Raw genomic sequence first — 22,814 nt, forward strand, 5'->3', positions numbered from 1 at the left:
CGTCTCTATTGCACTCCCCGGAATCATCCTTAGGTCGGGAGTACCCTACGCCACCTCCAGGGACGCTTCTAGCACTTCTACATGCCCTTATCCCTCCAAACTCCAGGGGGCGATAGCCCAGCGCCTGACTCTCTGCAGCCCCACGGCGCTCCTTCCAATCAGCAGAGAGAACACACGTCCTTGCGGAAGTGACGGCAGTTCCGAGTCCAGTGGGGGCGGTGGGAGCGATGAGGGTCTGAGACGGTGGGAGCGGTTGTGTGAAGATGGAGGTAGGAACCTGATAGCTAAGAAGGCTGGCGAGAGAACGCGGCCGACCGGGTTGAAGCAGGGACGGGAAGCCGGGCGGAGAGGCGACTGACGGGAGAGGAGAGAGAGCGGGGTTTGGGGAGTGTTGTCAGAATGTCAGGGTCAAAAGCCATCGCTCCAAGCTGACTCCCTGCTCCCCCTAACTTATCCCCGCGACTTTCTTTTGGTTTCCAGTTTCCCGGAGGAAATGACAATTACCTGACGATCACAGGGCCTTCGCACCCCTTCCTGTCAGGGGCCGAGGTGAGCCAGAGCTGCCGACGCCGCGGGGGTAGGGCCTGAGGCAGCGGTGGGGTAGGGTAGTGGGGAGGAGAGCACGGACTCCGGGGACGGGGGCTGGGAACCAAGGGCCGCAATTGGTGTTTAGAGAAAAGTGGCGGTTGCTTCTAGAGCCTGTGGGGACTATCTGGGGAAGTCTTGGGAAGTTGCTGTCATCAGAAAGCAAGGTATTGGAAAGAGATAACCTGTTTAAAGAGAAAAGGGATTCTGGATTAGAAGACAGAGTGGAATTGTCTCCTTTCTCTGGGGAGAAATAGCTACAGTAATCTTAGGGGATCGCAGTGGAAAGAAAATGTTTCAGCAGCTGAAGAAATTGGGGTTGAGGGGAGGAGCTTATTGGTTTTCTTTTGTTTTGAGACAGAGTCTCGCTTTATCGCCCAGGTTGAAGTGCAGTGGTGCGATCTCGGCTCACTGCAACCTCTGTCTCCTGGGTTCAAGCGATTCTCCTGCCTCAGCCTCCCGAGTAGCTGGGATTACAGGCGTGCGCCACCACGCTCGGCTAATTTTTGTATATTTAGTAGAGATGGCAGTTTCACCATATTGGCCAGGCTGGTTTCGAACTCCTGACCTCAGGTGATCCACCCACCTCGGCCTCCCGGAGTGCTGGGATTACAGGCCTGAGCCATTGCGCCCGGCCTAAATTTCCTACTTTGATAAAAAATTTGTGGTTACCTTTACCTACATGGTGTCAGCTTGTTTTGCTAATGTCAGGAGGAAAGGAAATAGCTGCTAGAGAATATAAAAGAGTTGAGTAGGACATGTGTTTCAATTTGCCAGTGACTCAGACGTTGGGCACATTACTTCATCTTTGTATGTCACAGTTTCCCCAGCTGTCAAACAGCTGTAATTATAGTTTCTTATGCTGTTTTAAAGTAGAAGTAAAGGTTATGATGAAACCCTGAAGTGTTCGTTAAAAAAGTTTGGTTGAAATATTGTCATAATATAGATATGTATCACTTGTTTGGGAGAGGCAAAAGAGAATGGTGGAACAGACAAAAATTTCTGTCTTTGAGAAACTGAAGTCTTGAACCATCTGCCATTTTTTGAGGACTTTTATATTTATTTTCAAAAGTGGTGTGGACCATTTGCATCAGTTTTTTTTACCAAGAATTGTCAGTGGCTGTTGCATGGGCTTATCCTATAATCCTAACGTTTTCATGGATGAAAATGGGGTTGACAAGGGCCAGTTGCTAGTTTAACTTTTTTTTTCTTTCTTTTTTTTTTTGAGACAGTCTCCCTGTAGCCCAGGCTGGAGTGCAGTAGCACGATCTTGGCTCACTGCAGCCTCCACCTCCTGGGCTCAAGTGATTCTCCTGCCTCAACCTCCCAAGTAGCTGGGAATACAGGTGTGCGCCACCACACCCAGCTAATTTTTTTTTTTTTTTTGAATTTTTGTAGAGACGGGGTTTCACCCTGTTACCCAGGCTCTTTAACTCCTGGCCTCAAGTGATCTGCCCGCCTCAGCCTCCTAAAGTGCTAGGATTACAGGCATGAGCCAATGTGCCCAGTGCCAGTTTAACTTTTTTGTTGCTTTTATTTATTATTCTCATAAGCAGGATAAGTGTGAATCTAGTATGCAGCAAACTTTGAAATGATATAAAACCTAAATCTGGGCCCAGCACAGTAGCTCGTGCCAGTAATCCCAACTGTTTGGGAGGCTGAGGCAGGAGAATTGCATGAGCCCAAGAGTTCTAGACCAGCTTGGGCAACGTGATCAAACTCTGTCTCTATAAAAGATAATAATAATTAATTTTAAAAAAACAGGTGAGGCGGGGTGCGGTGGCTCATGCCTGTAATCCCAGCACTTTGGGAGGCCAAGGAGGGCGGATCACGAGGTCAGGAGTTCGAGACCAGCCTGACCAACATGTGAAACCCCATCTCTACTAAAAATACAAAAATTAGCCGGGTGTGGTGGTGCGCGCCTGTAATCCCAGATACTCAGGAGGCTGAGGCAGGAGAATCGCTTGAACCTGGGAGGCAGAGGTTGCAGTGAGCCGAGATTGCGCCATTGTACTCCAGCCTAGGTGAACGAGTGAGACTCCATCTCAAACAAACAAACAAAAACAGCTAAAATCTGCTTGGTGCTTTGCACTCTTAGTTGCCATTTTCTTCTAAGTGAGATCTTCATTTTTAAATTTCATTATTTGAGTGTTGCAAATCTCACATTGGACTTACCTGCATGAAATTCCCAATTTCTCCTCAATCAGGTCTCCACAGTTTAAATTTTGTTATTTAGAGTGTTATAAATTTTACGTTGGCCTCGTTCATGAGAAAGTGCATTTTAAAATTAAATACAAGTAGCTTTCAAGTTTACCCACTGTTCTTAATTCTCTACCCCATTTATGAAGTTGAACAATCAAGAGGTAGCCACATTTAAAAAAGTGGTTCCTTTTTGCTTTTGCTTTTGTTTTTAATAGAGACAGGATCTCACCATGTTGTCCAGGCTGGTCTCAAATTCCTAGGCTCAAGCGATCCTCCCACCTTGGCCTCCCAAAGTACTAGTATTGTAGGTGTGAGCCACCATGCCAGGACAGAAGTGGTTCCTTTTCACATCAAGAAACTTCCCATGAAGAATCATGGTGTATAGTGAAGAAAAGTAAATTTAAAGTATTAACAAGTAATATTATAATAAAAAAGAAAGAAACTTTCCAGGTTTGAATCTGTCCTTTGTTTTTGTTTTTGTGACTTAAGAAATCTTATTTTATTTTGCCAAGAAACTGATAGCTAAGTTTTAGGCTCAATTTCAGTAGCTTCCTTTGCCTAAGGCTCCTGTCATTGTTAACAGTTCTCCATTTTCTCATTACAACTTCTACACCTTCCCTTTCCCTTGGTAGCGGTGGTAATGGTTGTTTATAACTTTTATTTTAATGGGGTTATGGTTTTACTGTGAGCCATTCCAAATATATCTTAGAAGTAGGTAAAGGTAATATTAAAAAAAAGTTTTTTTTTACAAGAGAGGAAATTTTTAGACTTTGCCGACCCTCCCCCAAAAAAGTAGTTGCCCATAAAAAGTTCTAACCATTAAAAAAAATGAATAATTGGACTCCACTGTAATTAGGAACTTCCTTTCATCAAAAAACATGATTAACAAATAGGCATTCCACAGACTGGGAGAAGATATTTACAATACATATATCTAACTCATATTCAGAATATATCAAGTACTTCTGCAGAGTAAAAGAAAGAATCCAGTTTAAAAGGAAGCAAAGGCCAGGCGTGGTGGCTCATGCCTGTAATCCCAGCACTTTGGGAGGCTGAGGCGAGTGGATCACCTGAGGTCGGGAGTTCAAGACCAGCCTGAGCAACATGGAGAAACCCCTTCTCTACTAAAAATACAAAATTAGCCGGGTGTGGCAGCGCATGCCTGTAATCCCAGCTACTCAGGAGGCAGAGGCAGGAGAATCGCTTGAACCTGGGAGGTGGAAGTTGTGGTGAGCTGAGATTGTACCATTGCACTCCAGCCTGGGCAACAAGAGAGAAACTCCGTCTCAAAAAAATAAAATAAAAGGAGGCAAAAGATTTGAACAGTCACTTCACAAAAGAAGACGTCCAAATTGCCAGTGAGAGTTGGCAAGGATGTGGATAACTTTTTTTTTGAGACAGAGTCTTGCTCTGTCACCCAGGCTGGAGTGCAGTGGTGCGGTCTCGACTCACTGCAACCTCCACCTCTCACGTTCAAGCAACTCTCGTGCATCAACCTTCTGAGTAGCTGGGATTACAGGCATGTGCCACCACACCTGGCTAATTTTTGTATTTTTGGTAGAGACCGGTTTTCACCATGTTGGCCAAGTTGGTCTCAAACTCCTGACCTCAAGTGATCCACCTGCCTCAACCTCCCAAAGTGCTGGGATTATAGCTGTGAGCCACCTTGCCCAGTGGATGTGGATAACTTAATTATTGCTAGTGAGAGTGTAAGTTAATTGAGCCACTGGAAAACTAGCAGTACCTACTAAAGATAAACATGCCCCCCTAACCTATGACCAGGTAAATTCCACTCCATGATATGTACACAACAGAAATGATTGCATATGTTCACCAAAAACATGTTCACAACAACTTTATTCTTACTAGCTTAACCCTGAAAACAACTCATGTCTATCAACAGAAAAAAATGGTGTATTTGTGAAAAGGAATACTACACAGATATAAAAAATTAAATTATAAATGCAATTGGATAATCTAAACAATATTTTGTTGAGTAGAAAAAGACAGACATAAAAGAGAAGACACTATATTCGTTCATATTTTTTAATGAGGGTCAAGAATAGGCAAAACTGAACTATCAAAATAGTGATACCAGTTGTGAAGGGAAGGAAGTATTCACTGGAAAGGGGCACAAGGAAATGTTCTGCATCTTTGATCTGGATAGTGATAACTTGGATGTTTGCATATGTAAAAAATCCATTAAGCTATACACTTAAAATTTATGTACCTTACATAAGTTGTATATCAATGAAATAAGAAATAGTAATAATTTCAAAAGAGTAGCAGTCCAGAGAGAGCATTGCCTGAGGCGGAAAGTTCTATGATCTGAAGGCAATTTAATCTTTCTGTTTCTCTTTTTCAGGTTGGCTCTAATATAGTGGTATTATGCTTAGAGCACATTGGGGAAATAATTAGGCATAAAGGTACCCATCCTTCAGTAGGAAAAGTAACTAACATTAGAACCAGTTCATTATTTCTGGCTAAATAGGTAAAATTTTCACTACTACATCAGTTTTTAAGAGCAGTTATTTAAATGACCCATAGTACCAGCGTATTGTTGAATAAATAGGTGTTGGATTAAAATAAATTTCTCTAAAGTGAATGATCTATATAATAAGCTAAAGAAATAATAGATTGTATGTTTTGGGATCAGAGAATGAAAAAAGGGAGGGAAATGGTATTTTTGATTTTTTGGTTCTCTTGATATTTAAGCATCTTTGCTTATAAACTGTAATTCCCAAACCAGCCCCTCCTTCAAAAAGGCCCAGGAATTGAACAAAGGAGGAAAGGAAAGCTAAGTTAGAAGGTAACTGCATATCATGTTCCTGTTTTCTCTTTCTGTGTCCAAACCACTTCTTTTTAATATTTGCTTCAGTTTTAGTTTTGTTTTATATTTAACAGTCTAGAGTGTGATCTGGTTATGTAATCCGCTAAAATAAAGTAAGTTTAGGTATTCATTTTTGGATTTTACCCATAATTTTACAGATCATTTGTAGTGAAAAAGATTTTAGTGAATCTCTACTTTTACTATAGCATGTGGTTTACCCTATCCTTTTTTTTTAACCTTCTGTATTCTTGATAATTGTAGTTATCTTACTATTCATACTTAAAGGAAGAAATAAAACAGAACCCAGAAAACCACCATGAAAGCCATAGGTACTGAATAACAAAGCTTTTACACATCCCAAGGGGTGGTGTATAGAAAGAATGCCTTGTCGATCCTACATAATGGAATCTCAACATGTCTAATTTTTTTATCATTTCCCAGTTCATTTTATGTAGCCATGTCTAATTTTTTAGTGTACAAGGAGAACATTCCAGATGGTTTATGAGGGGTAGTCACTTGTGGAACACTGGTCCCTTGTTTTGGATATGAATTTTTATCCTTTTGGGGTTCTCATTAACAAATAGTATCATTTTTATATCCTGACAAAGTTGCTGTTTTGTTGTGGTAAGCAGAAAAGGATAGGCATCTTTGCTTTGCCAAAGCAATCTGTATCTTGAAAATTTTGGAAACTACTATTTTACTATTAGTCTAGTACAGTAAATGTTTCCCTTGATCCTTCTTCCTGTTCCTATAACTTTTTTTTTTTTTTTGGTGTGAGAATTTGGTAAAAATCTTTGTACCTTCTACCTTAAAAATGCTCACGTAAACCTAAACTGAAATATCAGAAAGAGTCATGGACTGGAAGTTAAGAACTTCCACACAATAACAAAAATTATGGGCCAGACACAGTGGCTCACACTTGTAATCCTAGAACTTTGGGAGGCCAAGGTGGGAAGATCACTTGAGCCCAAGAGTTCAAGGCTGCAGTGAGTGGTGATGGAGCCATGCACTCAGCCTGGGCGACAGGGTAAGACCCTGTCTCAGAATTAAAAAAAACAACAACAAAACAACATACATAAATACATGATTTGTGTACTACTGAGAAAAGTTCAGTTCTTGGGGAAAGTTTCAGTTTTTCCCATCAAGAACTGCGTGGTATTTTTTGTTATTTGTGTGTGTGTGTGTGCGCGTGTGAGACAGAGTCTTGCTCTGTCATCCAGGCTGGAGTGCAGTGATGTGATCTTGGCTCACTGCAGCCTTCAACTCCTGGGTTCAAGCGATTCTCGTGCCTCAGCCACCTGGGTAGCTGGGATTACAGACGCACACCACCACACCCAGCTAATTTTTGTATTTTTAGTAGAGATGGGGTTTTCCATGTTGGCCAGGCTGGTCCCGAACTCCCGACTTTTCAAGTGATCCACCCACCTTGGCTTCCCAAAGTACTGGGATTACAGGTGTGAGCCACCACTACCAGCTGAGAACTGTGTGTTCTTATGCTCCGTGTGCTACTTATATCTCAGACAACGACCAGATTTTTTACCATACCAAGTAAAATAGTAAGGAGAAGGGAAACTGTACATATATCTTTTTGTCTTTTAGGAAACTTTTACAAATGTGATTCAGAGATTGGGCATTTCACAGGCACACTTTTTTCTCCCTAGTTTCTGCTAGCTGGAAATTTTCTTTCTAGCAATGTCTTTTTTTTTTTTTTTTTTTTTTTTTTTTTTTTTTTTTGAGACAGAGTCTTGCTCTGTCACCCGGGCTGGAGTGCAGTGGCACAATCTCGGCTCACTGCAGCCTCTGCCTCCTGGATTCAAGTGATTCTCCTGCCTCAGCCTCCTGATGTAGATGGCATTACAGGCACCTGCCACCACACCTGGCTAATTTTTGTATTTTTAGTAGAGATGGATTTTCGCCATGTTGGCCAGGCTGGTCTCGAACTCTTGACCTCAGGTGGTCCACCCACCTCGGCCTCCCAAAGTGCTGAGATTATAGGCATGAGCCACGGCACCCGGCCTTTATTTTCTTTCTTTTTCTTTTTTTTTAGACATGGTCTTGGTCTGTCGCCCAGGCAGGATTGCAGTGGTGCAGTCTTGACTCACTGTGACCTCTGACTCCTGAGTTCAAGTGATCCTCGTGCCTCAGCCTCTCGAGTAGCTAGGATTATAGGTGTGTGCCACCATGCCTGACTAATTTTTTGTTCTTTTGGTAGAGACGGGTTTCACTGTGTTGGCCAGGCTGGTCTCGAACTCCTGGCCTCGTGTGATCCGCCCACCTGGGCCTCCCGAAGTGCTGGGATTACAGGCGTGAGCCACTGCTCCCAGCCTAATGTCTTCATTAAACCAGAATTAGAGGCTGGGCGCTGTGGCTCATGCCTGTAATCCCAACAGTTTGGGAGGTCAAGGCAGGGTGATGGCTTGAGCCCAGGGGTTCAAGACCAGTCTGGGCAATATGGCCAGACCCAATCTCTACAAAAAATGCAAAAATTAGCCTGGCGTCATGGCCAGGCGTGGTGGCTCACGCCTGTGATCTCAGCACTTTGGGAGGCCAAGGAGGGCGGATCACCTGAGGTCGGGAGTTCAAGACCAGCCTGACCAACATGGAGAAACCCCGTCTCTACTAAAAATACAAAATTAGCCGGGCATGGTGGCACATGTCTGTAATCCCAGCTACTAGGGAGGCTGAGGCAGGAGAATCACTTGAACCTGGGAGGCGGAGGTTGCGGTGAGCTGAGATCACGCCATTGCACTCCAGCCTGGGCAACAAGAGTGAAACTCTGTCTCAAAAATAAAATAATAATAAAAATTAGCCTGGCATGGTGGTGTGCACCTGTAGTTACTTGGGAACCTGAGGTGGGAGAATCACTTGAACCCAGGAGGCGGAGGTTGCAGTGAGCAATATCACGCCACTGCATTTTATCATGGGTGACAAAGGAGACTCTATCTCAAAAAAAAAAAAAACTGCCAGGTGCGGTGGCCCATGCCTGTAATCCCAGCACTTTGGGAGGCTGAGGCGGGTGGATCACGAGGTCAAGAGATCGAGGCCAACATGGTGAAACCCCGTCTCTATTAAAAAACACAAAAATTAGCTGGGCGTGGTGGCACACACCTGTAGTCCTAGCTACTCTGGAGGCTGAGGCAGGAGAACTGCTTGAACCCGGGAGGTGGAGGTTGTAGTGAGCCAAGATCGCGCCACTGCACTCCAGCCTGGGCCACGGAGCGAGACTCTGTCTCAAAAAAAAGAAAAAAAAAAAAAGACAGAAATGGTCATAATAGAAGAACATTTCAGGATCTAGAGGAACCTTGAGGTCTGTAAGCCCAACACTTTGGAGGCCGAGGCAGTAGGATTACTTGAGTCCAGGAGTTCGAGACTAGCCTGGGCAACACAGGGAGAGCTCGTCTCCACAAAAAATTTTAAAAATTAGCTGGGTGTGGTGGCACATACCTGTAGTCCCAGCTACTCGGGAGGCTGGGGCTGGAGGCTTGCTTGAGCCCAGGAGTTCCAGATCAGCTTGGGTGACAGGGCAAGACCCCATCTCAAAAAAAAAGAAAAGGAACCTTTAGGAACTCTATTTAAAGAATGCATTGTTCAATTATGAAAAAAAAAAATGTTGGTACCTATTGAATTTGATCTGAATCAGTTTATATTTACTATGCTATGTGTTAGATTGATAGAATTTAAAGTTTCTAAAATTCCAATTATCTGTTATAATTGGTTGGGGTGGGGGTAATCATTATTAGGATATTATCATTCATAACAATGGTTAATGATGGTGATTAAGCCATTATATGTATCAGGCAATGTGCTAAGATTTTATGCATGAAATCTCACTTATCCTCATAATAACCATATAAGGGGATTACCATTATAATTCCCATTTTACAGATGAAGAAAACTTGTTCAAGGTCTTGTACCCAGGTCTCTCTGACAGCAGTCTCTTGCTATTATTTATAAATGTCTATTGCTGTAAATGCCACCATTTAGATTTTAGTGTCAAAACAGAACCATAGCAGTTCACATCTTAATCAGACATTGTCTGTTAGCTGCATGAGTGGTGGCCTCATTCAGAAAAGAAAGAATGTGTTATTATTGACCTAGTTGGACTCAGAGGAAGAGATTGGGTCTTTAGCCAACTGGAGTAATCCTTTTCCTCTCTTAGAGAGAAGCTTGGTCAGAGCAAGACTAGCATTTTTGGCATTGTTGAGGTTTTCTGAAAATCCTATACTAATGGGAATCTTTATTTGTTGTTAACATTATAATTTCTAAAGTGGAGAAGAAGTAGGAAACTCTGCAAATATTTTAGAGGGGGTAAAGTTCCCATGACAGTACATTTTAGCATCTGTTTGAAAGGAACCTAAAACAACAAAGTATAATTGGCTGGCTGACAGCGAATTTCTGTGACCTAACAGTTTAGATGTAATAATTGTGAAATAACTGCTCTATTAGAATCTTTAGAGAGAGATTTCAAGAATCATAGTAAACAGGTTATAAAGGCTATGTCCTAAGTAATGGTACTGAAAGAATTTTTCATTAGAACCATAGGCATAATTTAAGACAAAAGAGACGGTAATGGTAGAAAAGAGATAAAAGAATTGAAAATTGTGACTGATGTTAGCAGCCTTGAATGTACCAAATGACCAAGGGTATCAGAAGAGAGATTGGTAAAAATAATAGGTTCTAAGAAATTGATTATAAAATAGGATCCTAAGCAGAAAAAATGCATCCTGAGAATCTCTAGTACCCCATTATGTTCTTCACTTAGTAGTATGCCATTTCTCCTCTTTTCACTAATTCTTTTCCCCCTTTTTTCCCCTACAGACATTCCATACACCAAGCTTGGGTGATGAGGAATTTGAAATCCCACCTATCTCCTTGGATTCTGATCCCTCATTGGCTGTCTCAGATGTGGTTGGCCACTTTGATGACCTGGCAGACCCTTCCTCTTCACAGGATGGCAGTTTTTCAGCCCAGTATGGGGTCCAGACATTGGACATGCCTGTGGGCATGACCCATGGCTTGATGGAGCAGGGCGGGGGGCTCCTGAGTGGGGGCTTGACCATGGTAAGGGGCAAGACATTGTCAGGCTTACCCCAGCTAATGGGCATGGCATTAGGGGAGACAAAGTTACTCTATTCCCTGCTACACTTGGGTATTACTTGTTTCTCTTCTTGTGGCTAAAGGCTCACCAACAAAGACTTAATTTCACCTGAATAAATGAAATTTACCATGTAGGTAGATTTTACTTGAAAAATAATTTAAAATTGTACAATGTCTGGTTTGAAAATTATTTATTGTGGTTTTTGGGAAAAAGTGTTTTCTGCTTTTATTATGGCCTTCACATCCTAGGATTCAAATTTGAATGTGATAGCTGGCACACGGAGGGATTTATTCAAAAATGGCCTGAATCACGTTGAGCAGCCAGCAGAACAGAGCTTAAAAAAAAAAAAAAAGTCTGAGCCAAATATAGTATTGTGGATTAGTATGTAATATAAATCAGTATATTGGGCTTCCAGCACATCGAACCAGTAAGCACATCTTCATACTCTATATTTGATGCCAGACTTTAATATTGGCCTTATTTATGCTGATTGCCTATGTATTACAATTTTAAAAGCTATTATTTTGGGAGAGTACAGATAGGAAGTTTTTCTTTACTCAATGTGTTGTCACTACCTATATATTACTGAATAAGTTGATAGCTCTTTGACTTGTCCAACAGTGCGACTTCTCTGATTATTTTTAGTTCTTCTTTTGAGTGCAAAGAAGTAAATTCATTAATTTCTGTACTTTTTTAAAAAGCTTATTTTTTTATTTTCATTTTTGAAGACTATTTTATGTTTTGTATTTTAAATGATACAATTTGGGTAGGCAGGGAATTTATAAGCTGTCTTAAATTTAGGGGGGAAAAGTGGTTTTTTTTATATTTAGTGTTTAATTAGTCCTTCTGCTTCTCTCAGGACTTGGACCACTCTATAGGAACTCAGTATAGTGCCAACCCACCTGTTACAATTGATGTACCAATGACAGACATGACATCTGGCTTGATGGGGCATAGCCAGTTGACCACCATTGATCAGTCAGAACTGAGTTCCCAGCTGGGTTTGAGCCTAGGGGGTGGCACCATCCTGCCACCTGCCCAGTCACCTGAAGATCGTCTTTCAACCACCCCTTCACCTACTAGTTCACTTCACGAGGATGGTGTTGAGGATTTCCGGAGGGTGAGGCATTCCCTGTCAAAATCAATTCTGCTGTGATAGTCTGGGATAAAATTTTTGGGATACAGAGCCTAATCAGTATTCTTTACCCTTGCCGTGCCATCTCCTCTGCTGTTTTCTGGGTATGGGGTTCCACCTCCCAATTTCCAGTTTATAATTCTCCTCTCAATCCCTATTCTTATTGGTTCTCCATATTTGACTAATGTCTTTTAATGCTATTTCTATGATTTTTAGCATTTCTGAAAATTCCATACATGTGGCTAGTTTCCAGACATAATACTTGTCATTGTCCATTGTGTAATTCTCTCTTTTTTCTCTCCTACAGCAACTTCCCAGCCAGAAGACAGTCGTGGTGGAAGCAGGGAAAAAGCAGAAGGCCCCAAAGAAGAGAAAAAAGAAAGATCCTAATGAACCTCAGAAACCAGTTTCAGCATATGCTTTATTCTTTCGTGATACACAGGCTGCCATCAAGGGACAGAATCCTAATGCCACTTTTGGTGAGGTTTCAAAAATTGTGGCCTCCATGTGGGATAGTCTTGGAGAGGAGCAAAAACAGGTGAGCAAATATTGAGGAACTAGTAGTGAATGTTCCAGAAGTTTTTAAAGAGATAAAAATTGAGGTTTTCTTTTTTCTTACATGTCCTTATCTAATATCAGCTGTTTGTTAATGACACTTAAATATCATCCCTTGTCTTCGAAGTTGCAGCCATACACTCACTCCAGAAAACCTATTTAAATTTTTTTTTTTTGAGACAGAGTCTCGCTCTGTCACCCAGGCTGGAGTGCAGTGCCGTGATCTCAGCTCACTGCAAGCTCCGCCTCCTGGGTTCACGCCATTCTCCTGCTTCAGCCTCCCGAGTAGCTGGGACTGCAGGCGCTTCCACCACACTGGGCTAATTTTGTTTTTGTATTTTTAGTAGAGACGGCGTTTCACCATGTCAGCCAGGATGGTCTCGATCTCCTGACCTCGTGATCCACCCGCCTCGGCCTCCCAAAGTGCTGGGATTACAGGCATGAGCCACTGCGCCCGGCCTATTTAAAAATTATTAATAGGCTGAGTGTGGTGGCTCATGCTTTTAATCCCAGCACTTTGGGAGGCCAGGGCAGGAGGATTGCTTGAGCCCATGAGTTCGAGACCATCCTGGGCAACATAGGGAGACCCCCGTCTCACAGAAAATTAGCTGGGTGTGGTGGCATGTGCCTTTGGTCCCAGCTGTGGAGGCTGAGGCGGGAGGATTGCTTGAGTTCAGGATATAAAGGCTGCAGTGAGCCATGTTTGTGTCACTGCACTCCAGCCTGGGTGACAGAGCAAGACCCCGGCTCAAATAAATAAATAATAATTGTTATAGGCCGGGCGCGGTGGCTCACGCCTGTTAATCCCAGCACTTTGGGAAGCCGAGGCAGGCGGATTACGAAGTCAGGAGATCAACACCATCCTGGCTGACATTGAAACCCCGACTCTACTAAAAATACAAAAAAATTAGCCGGGTGTGGTGGCATGCCTCAAATCCCAGCTACTCAGGCGGCTGAGGCAGGAGAATTGCTTGAACCCGGGAGGCAGAGGTTGCGGTGAGCCGAGATCATGCCATTGCACTCCAGCCTGGGCAACAAGAGTGAAACTCCATCTCAAAAAATAATAATAATTGTTACAGAAGTACTGCATCTTTACAATAACTCTCAAAAATAGCTACCATTTCCCGCTTTTAAGGTGGAAACTGGAGCCCACTGCCCAGTTAAGGTCATATAACATTTAAGTGGTAAAGTTGAGACACAATCCAGGTTCTTTAACTCTTCCCATGTACTTTCCACTAATAATGTCTCCTATAATTCCTCATGTAGTGTCCTTCTGTTCAATTTTTAGATATTTAACTTTTCTAAGTCTCATTTTTTCCCCCATTTATAAAATTAGGCTATTACTTGATAAGCTGCATGCTGTGGCTAACTCTCAAATCCACTACCAAGTTTGGATTTAGAATTACTTGTTTGTTTGTTTTTGAGATGGAATTTCGCTCCTGTTACCCAGGCTGCAGTGCAGTGGTGCAATCTCAGCTTACTGCAACTTCCACCTCCTGGGTTCAAGTGATTCTCCTGCCTCAGCCTCCCAAGTAGCTGGGATTACCGGCATGTGCCGCCACACCCAGCTAATGTTGTATTTTTAGTAGAGACAGGGTTTCACCGTGTTGGTCAGGCTGGTGCCAAACTCCTGACCTCAGGTGATCCGCCTGCCTTGTCCTCCCAACGTGCTGGGATTACAGGTGTGAGCCACCGCACCTGGCCTATTTTTTTTCTTTCTTTTTCTTTTTTGGATTTAGAGTTTAAAAACTTTTTAGAGCTAGCCCAGATTCAAAGGAGGGGGAAATAGGCTTCAGCTCTTGAAGGGAGAAAGGTCATATGGGAGGAGTTGTTGTGGCCATCTTTGCAAACAATTTACCACATTCCATAAGGGAAAATATACTGGTTAGACACAGTCCCAGGCTAAGACACAGTTTTTGGATTAGGGTTTATTTTGTATTTATTTATTTATTTTTTTGAGACAGAGTCTCACTGTGTCGCCCAGGCTGGAGTGCAGTAGCACAATCTTGGTTGACTGCAAGCTCTATCTCCCAGGTTCACGCCATTCTCCTGCCTCAGCCTCCTGAGTAGCTGGACTATAGGCGCCCATCACCACGCCGGGCTAGTTTTGTTTTTGTTTTTTTTAGTAGAGATCGGGTTTCACCAGGTTAGCCAGGATGGTCTCAATCTCCTGACCTCGTGATCTGGCCACCTTGGCCTCCCAAAGTGCTGGGATTACAGGCGTGAGCCACCGCACCTGGCAGATTAGGGTTTATTTTTGTTACAGAAGTGAGCATGGGTTGATGTTTGCCTTAAATGTAGCTATTCTCGGCCAGGCGTGGTGGCTCACGCCTGTAATCCCAGCACTTTGGGAGGCAGAGGCAGGCGGATCACAAGGTCAGGAGATCGAGACCATCCTGGCTAACACAGCGAAACCCCATCTCTACTAAAAATACAAAAAATTAGCCGGGCGTGGTGGCGGGTGCCTATAGTCCCAGCTACTCAGGAGGCTGAAGCAGGAGAATGGCATGAACCTGGGAGGCAGAGCTTGCAATGAGCCAAGATCACGCCACTGCACTCGAGCCTGGGCGAGAGAGCACGACTCTGTCTCAAAAAAAATTTAAAAAAAATAAAATAAATGTAGCAAAATAAAATAAATGTAGCTATTCTTGCCAGACTCCTGTCGATTGGTTGTCTTTCAGAGGTATGCTCAGTGGAGTGAGTCTGCCATGGAGGTTGTCTTGACTGTTAGCTTTCAGAATTGAATTCACTGATAGAGGTTGTCAGTGATTAGACTAAGATGAATTGTCATTCATTGATAAATAATACAGAACTATCAGTCTTTCCTAAGAGTATGGGGAGTTTTGTTTTTTTTTTTAAAGTCTCTTTTTTGCAGGTATATAAGAGGAAAACTGAGGCTGCCAAGAAAGAGTATCTGAAGGCACTGGCTGCTTACAAAGACAACCAGGAGTGTCAGGTAAGAGGGATAGGATAGAATGAATATTTAAACCAGTAAGAAGTTTTTTGGAAGTGTTTGTTAGCAGTTTTAAGAAGTAAATACCACCAAGTGATTGATTAATTGATAGATTGATTTATGTCTTCTTTTAGGCCACTGTGGAAACAGTGGAATTGGATCCAGCACCACCATCACAAACTCCTTCTCCACCTCCTATGGCTACTGTTGACCCAGCATCTCCAGCACCAGCTTCAATAGAGCCCCCTGCCCTGTCCCCATCCATTGTTGTTAACTCCACCCTTTCATCCTATGTGGCAAACCAGGCATCTTCTGGAGCTGGGGGTCAGCCCAATATCACCAAGTTGATTATTACCAAACAAATGTTGCCCTCTTCTATTACTATGTCTCAAGGAGGGATGGTTACTGTTATCCCAGCCACAGTGGTGACCTCCCGGGGGCTCCAACTAGGCCAAACCAGTACAGCTACTATCCAGCCCAGTCAACAAGCCCAGATTGTCACTCGGTCAGTGTTGCAGGCAGCAGCAGCTGCTGCTGCTGCTGCTTCTATGCAACTGCCTCCACCCCGACTACAGCCCCCTCCATTACAACAGATGCCACAGCCCCCGACTCAGCAGCAAGTTACCATTCTGCAGCAGCCTCCTCCACTCCAGGCCATGCAACAGCCTCCACCTCAGAAAGTTCGAATCAATTTACAGCAACAGCCTCCTCCTCTGCAGATCAAGAGTGTGCCTCTACCCACTTTGAAAATGCAGACTACCTTAGTCCCACCAACTGTGGAAAGTAGTCCTGAGCGGCCTATGAACAACAGCCCTGAGGCCCATACAGTGGAGGCACCTTCTCCTGAGACTATCTGTGAGATGATCACAGATGTAGTTCCTGAGGTGAGCCTTTGTTTTTAAGTCTTTAGTCTAGTGGAAATGTATAAAAATGTTTTTGGTTGACCCAATAACAGTGGGGGTTGCTACTAGCATTTAATGCCCAGCAACCAGGAGCACAAAACATCCTGCAGATGGGAGTTCCTTGCAGCAGTTGACTTCTCTTACCCAAGGTACTCATACTGTTTTTTTTTTGTTTGTTTGTTTTTGAGATGGAGTTTCACTCATTGCCCAGGCTGGAGTGCAATGGTGCGATCTCGGCTCACTGCAACCTCTACCTCCTGGGTTCAAGAGATTCTCCTGCCTCAGCCTCCCGAGTGGCTGGGATTACAGGCATGTGCCACCATGTCCGGCTAATTTTGTATTTTTAGTAGAGACGGTTTCTCCATGTTGGTCAGGCTGGTCTCGAACTCCTGATCTCAGGTGATCTGCCTGCCTCGGCCTCCCAAAGTGCTGGGATTACAGGTGTGAGCCACTGCACCCGCCCTGTTTTGTTTTGTTTTGTTTTGTTTTTCTTGAGACGGAGTCTCGCTCTGTTGCCTGGGCTGGAGTGCAGTGGTGTAATCTTGGCTCACTGCAATCTCCACCTCCTAGTTCAAGTGATTCTCCTGCCTCAGCCTCCCGAGTAGCTGGGATTACAGGCGCCCACCACTACACCCAGCTAATTTTTTGTATTTTTATTAGAGACAGAGTTTCACCATGTTCATTGGGCTGGTCTTGAACTCCTGACCTCGTGATTCGCCCGCTTCGGCCTCCCAGAGTGCAGGGATTACAGGCGTGAGCCACCGTGTGCCCCATAGTGTTTTTAGTGAGATACATTAAGACAGTCTTCTGCCCCAGACCACTCCTTAACTAAGCAGAGGTCACTAGTTCAACTGGACAGGATATAGCCTAAACAGTTATTATTCAGAGTTGTTACCCAAGGATCCTAAACTTTGGACATGCAAAGCTTTTCATTTCTCCTAGGTCTTAAGTTCCTTAGCTTGATGTTTTAAATGTGTGTGGGGCAGGGGGTATAGGCAGAAAAATTTAATTGGTTCATACCGTTATTTTTTAAAACAGACATAAATATGGCCAGGTGTGGTGGCTCACGCCTGTAATCCCAGCACTTTGGGAGGCCAAGGCAGGTGGATCACCTGAGGTCAGGAGTTCAGGACCAGCCTGGCCAACATGGTGAAACCCTGTTTCTACTAACAATACAAAAAATTAGCTGGGGCTGGAAGCGGTGGCTCACGCCTGTAATCCCAGCACTTTGGGAGGCCGAGGTGGGCGGATCACGAGGTCAGGAGATCGAGACCATCCTGGCTAACACGGTGAAAACCCGTCTCTACTAAAAAATACAAAAAAAATTAGCCGGGCATGGTGGCAGGCGCCTGTAGTCCCAGCTACTCTGGAGGCTGAGGCAGGAGAATGGCGGGAACCCAGGAGGCAGAGCTTGCAGTGAGCTGAAATCGCACCACTGCACTCTAGCCTGGGAGACAGAGAGAGACTCCGTCTCAAAAAAAAAAAAAAAAAAAATTAGCTGGGCACGGTGATGGGCGCCTGTAATCCCAGCTACTTGGGAGGCTGAGGCAGGAGAATCGCTTGAACCCGGGAGGCAGAGGTTGCAGTGAGCTGAGATTGTGCCACAGCACTCCAGCCTGGGCAACAGAGCAAGACTCCGTCTCAAAAAAAAACAAAAAACACTACCTCTCTATTCCCACTGCTTGACTAGCCAGGCTTAACAGGGAAAAAAAAGCATTAGCACATGGCCACCTTTCTCCTGATGGGAAGAATCTTCCACCATTCTGCTTGGCAAAGTTCTGAAGCTGGACTATAGAGGGGAGACCAAGAACTCACCTTCTTCTGCAGTTTTGCCCCCCAGTGTGAGGAATTCTAATACCTGTTGCTTCATTGGTTTCTACAGATAATTTAGCTAACTAGCTAGCTAGGCAGGGAGCAATCTAATCCACCTTGGTACTCTTCTTCTTCTCACAGGTTGAGTCTCCTTCTCAGATGGATGTTGAATTGGTGAGTGGGTCTCCTGTGGCACTCTCACCCCAGCCTCGATGTGTGAGGTCTGGTTGTGAGAACCCTCCCATTGTGAGTAAGGACTGGGACAATGAATACTGCAGCAATGAGTGTGTGGTGAAGCACTGCAGGTGAGCTTACAGTTCTCCCTTTTATAATTCAGCTACTGGTCAATTCTACTGGGAAACATAGGAATCTTGAGCATAAAATCAGCATCTCAGTGTCACCTTACCTTAGGTAGAGTAGGTTGCTGTATCTGGTCTACTAGAAAAGCTCCCCTGCTTAAGAGCTTACATTTGCCACATAAGCCAAAGATGATGTAATCAGCAGTTCACATTTTTCAGTTACCACATACCTCTCTTATGTATGCTCTTTAAAAATATAATACATTAAGCTGTTAGTGTTTGCAAATATTAGCTTTTCAATTCTTGGTGCAAATCAGACTACTTAGGGAACTAGAATTTGGGGAGAAATGGTAAGTGGAAAGTAACACATAATAATTTGCAATTTGTGAAGGAAATGGGGAGATGGTTGGAATATTTTACCCCTCTCCCCAAATTTTCCTGGGAATTTCCTATAGCTGTAGGACAAGGCATTTCTATTTCCTATTTCAAAAACTCTGCAGTAAATTAGCATTGCCTCTACTTCTGACTTTTAAGCCCACTGTTCTTATATTTTCAAGGTGATACTATCTCACCATAATGCTGTAGGAAATTATCTGGGAACCTATTTGTTTAAGACAGATAAAAAATCCAGCTGGGCCATACAGTGAAACCCCATCTCTACTAAAAATACAAAAATTAGCCGGGCATGGTGGCAGGCACCTGTAGTCCTGGCTACTCAGGAGGCTGAAGCAGGAGAATCTCTTGAACCTGGGAGGTGGAGGTTGCAGTGAGCCAAGAAGATCACGCCACTGCACTCCAGCCTGGGCAACAGCGAGACTCCATCTCAAAAAAAAAAAAAAAAAGATAAAAAGAATGTAGCGGCCGGGCGCGGTGGCTCACGCTTGTAATCCCAGCACTTTGGGAGGCCAAAGCGGGCGATTCACGGGGTCAGGAGATCAAGACCATCCTGGCTAACACAGTGAAACCCTGTCCCCACTAAAAATACAAAAAATTGGCCGGGCATGGTGGTGGGCACCTGTAGTCCCAGCTACTCGGGAGGCTAAGGCAGGAGAATGGCGTGAACCCATGAGGTCCGTCTCAAAAAAAAAAATGTATCTAGGCTGTAATTCTATTTCAGTTTGTGTATAATTCTGTTTGTGTATGTCTTTTTCTCTCTTAGGGATGTATTCTTGGCCTGGGTAGCCTCTAGAAATTCAAACACAGTGGTGTTTGTGAAATAGTCCTTCCTGTTCTCCAAGCCAGTGAAGAGTTATCTGCTGGGAAAGTGTCCAAGAGCCTGTTTTTGAAACACAAGCTGGGCTTCTGGTAGTGCCTCATCACAACCCATGATGGCTGTTCATGTTTCACCCCTTTTCTTCCTTCAGCAGAGGCCAGGCTATGGAGCAGGGCCACTGAATTTGCTGTAATCTGGAGATGCTTTTTACTTTCAACCATAAGCGGTAATAGCAGAGGAAAGGGTGAAGGGAGTCTGGGCAAGCAAAGCATAGAGATGGTGGGGTGGTGGTGGGGTTGAAGAAACTTGTTGGTATAATTGTCATAGGACTTGCCTAAAATATTATTAAAATTACGGGAGTGTACTCAGCTTTGAGCCTAGGAGAAAATGCCACTGTGTGCATCCATTTTAAAGGGTTCCCTCATAAAAAAATGTTATTCCCCATTATCACATCAGTACACTGCTTTGAAAACAAAACTTTTCAACATGGGCATACTGGGCTACATGGAAAATGACATCACCCAGGAGTGATTTCTCTTTATATATATTATTTCTGCAGTTACCATCCTTATCTGAGTTATCACAGTTCATGAATCTAAGAGGCGGAACTCTACATCATTAGTAAGAGGTTCCACCAAAGTCTAAAGTTGTATTCACTTGTGTTTGATGAACTATCTTTAAAAGACCATAGGTCTATCATTATTTCTTAGACATAATCTAAAGAAAAACAGACTAGAGAAGCCACCTGGTTGTAACAGAATAAGCAGAAGTTTACAGCATGATAGTCCAAGTGGTGATAACTTTAAATAAAACTCAAATTTTTACTGTTTGTAGACAGGAATGCTGTCCTAGAGAACCTCCTCCTCAACCAGCTACGTACATAGTTTTATCCTATGCATTCCTGTTTTCTGTGTGTTTTTTGTTTTTTTTTTTTTTTTTTTTTTTTGAGACAGAGTCTCGCTCTGTCACCCAGGCTGGAGTGCAGTGGTGCGACCTCAGCTCACTGAAACCTCTGCCTCCCGGGTTCAAGCGATTCTCCTGCATCAGCCTCCCGAGTAGCTAGGATTACAGGCGCCCGCCACTACGCCCAGCTAATTTGTGGTATTTTTAGTAGAGACAGGGTTTCACCATGTTGGCCAGGCTGGTCTCGAACTCCTGACCTCATGATCCGCCCGCCTTGACCTCCCAAAGTGCTGGGATTACAGGCATGAGCCACCGCACCCAGCCTGCATTCCTGTTTTTTTAATGGTTTTGGAGGGTAGCAGTAGAGATGGGGTCTCACTATGTTGCCCAGTCTAGTCTTGAACTCCTGGGCTACAGTTACCCTCCTACCTCGGCTTCCCAAAGTGCTCGGATTACAGGTGTGAGCCACTGTGCCTAGCCTATAATGATCATTTTAATGTTTCCCATGCACTCATTTAGTTTGAACCTTCACAGCAACCCAATGAGGTAATACTCCCATTTCACATATAATACTGAGAGATGAGTTGCACAAGATTATACACTGTTAAGTAGCAGAGCCAGAATGGACTTCAGAATCCCAACTACAATACAAATGTTTATTTAAATAAAGAAGAAAGCTATTGTACAAATATCACTCTTCAGGTTTAGCTTACAGAGCCATGGCTATGGATTCTTAGCTCTGTAAGGAAGTGCTTCTATAAATTCTTAGGTTTAGAGATGATACCATCTGGGTACCTTTGCTTGAACCGTGCAACCACATCTGGGTCTAGTAGGTGGATCCCATCCAGTTGGTTTCCAAGGGTGATCCTGAAACAGTGTAAAAGGAGGGGCAAACCAGAAATCCTGGAATTAGAGGGTTTAATATTGTTAAAAAATGCATACCAAATGAAGACTGCCTATCATCATATCAAATATGCCAATTCTAAAAAGAGCTTAACATTAGAATAGTATATGGTAGAATTACTAGTTCAGAATTGGCATAGATTCTGGTGTTAAAATAGACTGGATCTGTATTATCTGAGGGTTAGTAACTAATGCTTAGCCAGGCCTGCTTCACAGAGTTGCTACCAGGGAGTATTCTTTGGATAAGCAAAATGCTAGCAGCATGTGTTTTAAGCTCTGTTAAGGGGTGAAAGATGTAATTATTGACAGATTAAATAGATAACTTCGTAACCACCAGGGGGCAGATTCAATACATCACAGAATGGCTGAGGAAGATCCTTGGGTTGTGAAGAGAGTAGAAACCCTAGGGAGCAGTGCTTTTGGGTCCTAGAACCTGTTGAGTTTCTAATGAATATTTGTAGAATCTCATAAAACAGTTTAAATACAAGCTTAAGTGGCTTATGAATCCTGTGAAGCTCATTTATGGACTAGTGTAAAACAATGTGAAGCTCTACTAAGTTCTGTCCTTAATCATAAATAATAGCCCCTTGAGGACTAGCCTGTTCTCTGGTCACCTTACCAGTTGGGTTGCACATTGTGTGGTCGTCCAAATAACTCAATCTTGCGAGTGCCAGGAGATAGTCTTTCAATCATGCCATAGATTTCATCTGGTTTATGACTGGTGGAACGAACCTAGGAAATAAAAACTAGCTGCTTTTTAAGTTACACAAGATTGCAATTCTAGCCCTTTCTATTATGTTTATGATCTAAATGAGAAAAATCTGGGATGAGAATACACCCAACATGAATAACTGATACCAACAAAAATGTGGAAGCTTTGGAGGCCTGGGAAGCACATACCTCAGCTACGATCACATCACAATCCAGACCCTGGTTGAAGCCTTGGGGATTTCCTTTGACACCAACCTGCTCACCACAGATAACAGATTACCTTATGAAACCACACCTTTGAACTTTTTCTCAGTAAGAAATCAAATGATTCTTCTTTGTGCTCCACCTATTGAATTGGGCCCCACTGCTGCTCACCAAGCAGTGTTCCTTCCCATGGTTCAACCAGTGACCTGTACGGCCTGTCCGAATGATGCGTTGCAGTTGATTTGTCTTCACCCAAATAATTTCATCTACCCGTTCATACCTGTGGGGCATAAAAAAGAACTAGAATTTTAGCCAAACTTTTACAGTTTAGGGGTAGTACCATTTATAGAAGCAAGGAATCACAGAATAGTCTGGGAGAAGAGAACATGTATCTCACTGTAACAGTATTACCCTCAAAAGAAAGCAACACAACCACTACTTACCCCCAGAGGTTTAGACATTCTCTCCCCAACTCCATGGCCCTAGAAAGAAATGAGTTAAACAACTAT

At 43.4% G+C, this 22,814-nt stretch overlaps 2 protein-coding genes across 5 annotated transcripts in view, besides 3 other annotated features; one reads left to right on the plus strand and one right to left on the minus strand.

The window, feature by feature from the left end:
• Positions 61-130: an enhancer, noted in NCBI's record as "active region_8108". NCBI's record gives its function as "activates an Ori minimal core promoter by ATAC-STARR-seq in GM12878 lymphoblastoid cells {active_cell/tissue: GM12878}" and the evidence as "EXISTENCE:reporter gene assay evidence [ECO:0000049][PMID:35858748]".
• Positions 180-22,155, plus strand: TOX4 (TOX high mobility group box family member 4). Of its 2 annotated transcripts, NM_014828.4 has the most exons (9): positions 180-269; positions 481-549; positions 10,436-10,678; positions 11,575-11,835; positions 12,158-12,388; positions 15,281-15,361; positions 15,493-16,242; positions 18,214-18,377; positions 19,531-22,155. In NM_014828.4, exons 1-9 carry the CDS (start codon positions 264-266, stop codon positions 19,589-19,591), a joined length of 1,866 nt encoding a protein of 621 aa, NP_055643.1. In that variant the 5' UTR covers positions 180-263; the 3' UTR covers positions 19,592-22,155. The 2 variants fall into 2 exon arrangements, with proteins under 2 accessions (NP_055643.1, NP_001290452.1); NM_001303523.2 differs by lacking the exon at positions 481-549.
• METTL3 (methyltransferase 3, N6-adenosine-methyltransferase complex catalytic subunit) overlaps positions 21,123-22,814 on the minus strand; it is a 13,203-nt gene continuing 11,511 nt past the window's right edge. For 2 of the 3 annotated variants that reach the window (NM_019852.5, XM_006720206.5), the window contains 5 exons: positions 22,749-22,787; positions 22,477-22,585; positions 22,291-22,356; positions 22,010-22,122; positions 21,123-21,354 (listed from right to left, as the gene is read on the minus strand). In NM_019852.5, the coding sequence (NP_062826.2) occupies positions 21,243-21,354; positions 22,010-22,122; positions 22,291-22,356; positions 22,477-22,585; positions 22,749-22,787 (439 nt within the window). In that variant the 3' untranslated portion in view covers positions 21,123-21,242. The remainder of the gene's footprint in view (positions 21,355-22,009; positions 22,123-22,290; positions 22,357-22,476; positions 22,586-22,748; positions 22,788-22,814) is intronic. The other variant, XM_011536968.3, reaches the window with a different exon arrangement.
• Positions 21,657-21,746: an enhancer, noted in NCBI's record as "active region_8109". NCBI's record gives its function as "activates an Ori minimal core promoter by ATAC-STARR-seq in GM12878 lymphoblastoid cells {active_cell/tissue: GM12878}" and the evidence as "EXISTENCE:reporter gene assay evidence [ECO:0000049][PMID:35858748]".
• Positions 21,777-21,826: an enhancer, noted in NCBI's record as "active region_8110". NCBI's record gives its function as "activates an Ori minimal core promoter by ATAC-STARR-seq in GM12878 lymphoblastoid cells {active_cell/tissue: GM12878}" and the evidence as "EXISTENCE:reporter gene assay evidence [ECO:0000049][PMID:35858748]".

This window comes from Homo sapiens, chromosome 14 (genome assembly GCF_000001405.40).
Source record: "Homo sapiens chromosome 14, GRCh38.p14 Primary Assembly".
Classification (NCBI taxonomy): Eukaryota; Metazoa; Chordata; class Mammalia; order Primates; family Hominidae; genus Homo; species Homo sapiens.

Bases quoted from the DNA above. Each gene is read 5' to 3' on its own strand.
- TOX4 (NM_014828.4), top strand. The intron at 550-10,435 runs GTGAGCCAGAGC...TTTCCCCTACAG, and splicing joins CCTTCCTGTCAGGGGCCGAG to ACATTCCATACACCAAGCTT. The intron at 12,389-15,280 runs GTGAGCAAATAT...TCTTTTTTGCAG, and splicing joins TTGGAGAGGAGCAAAAACAG to GTATATAAGAGGAAAACTGA.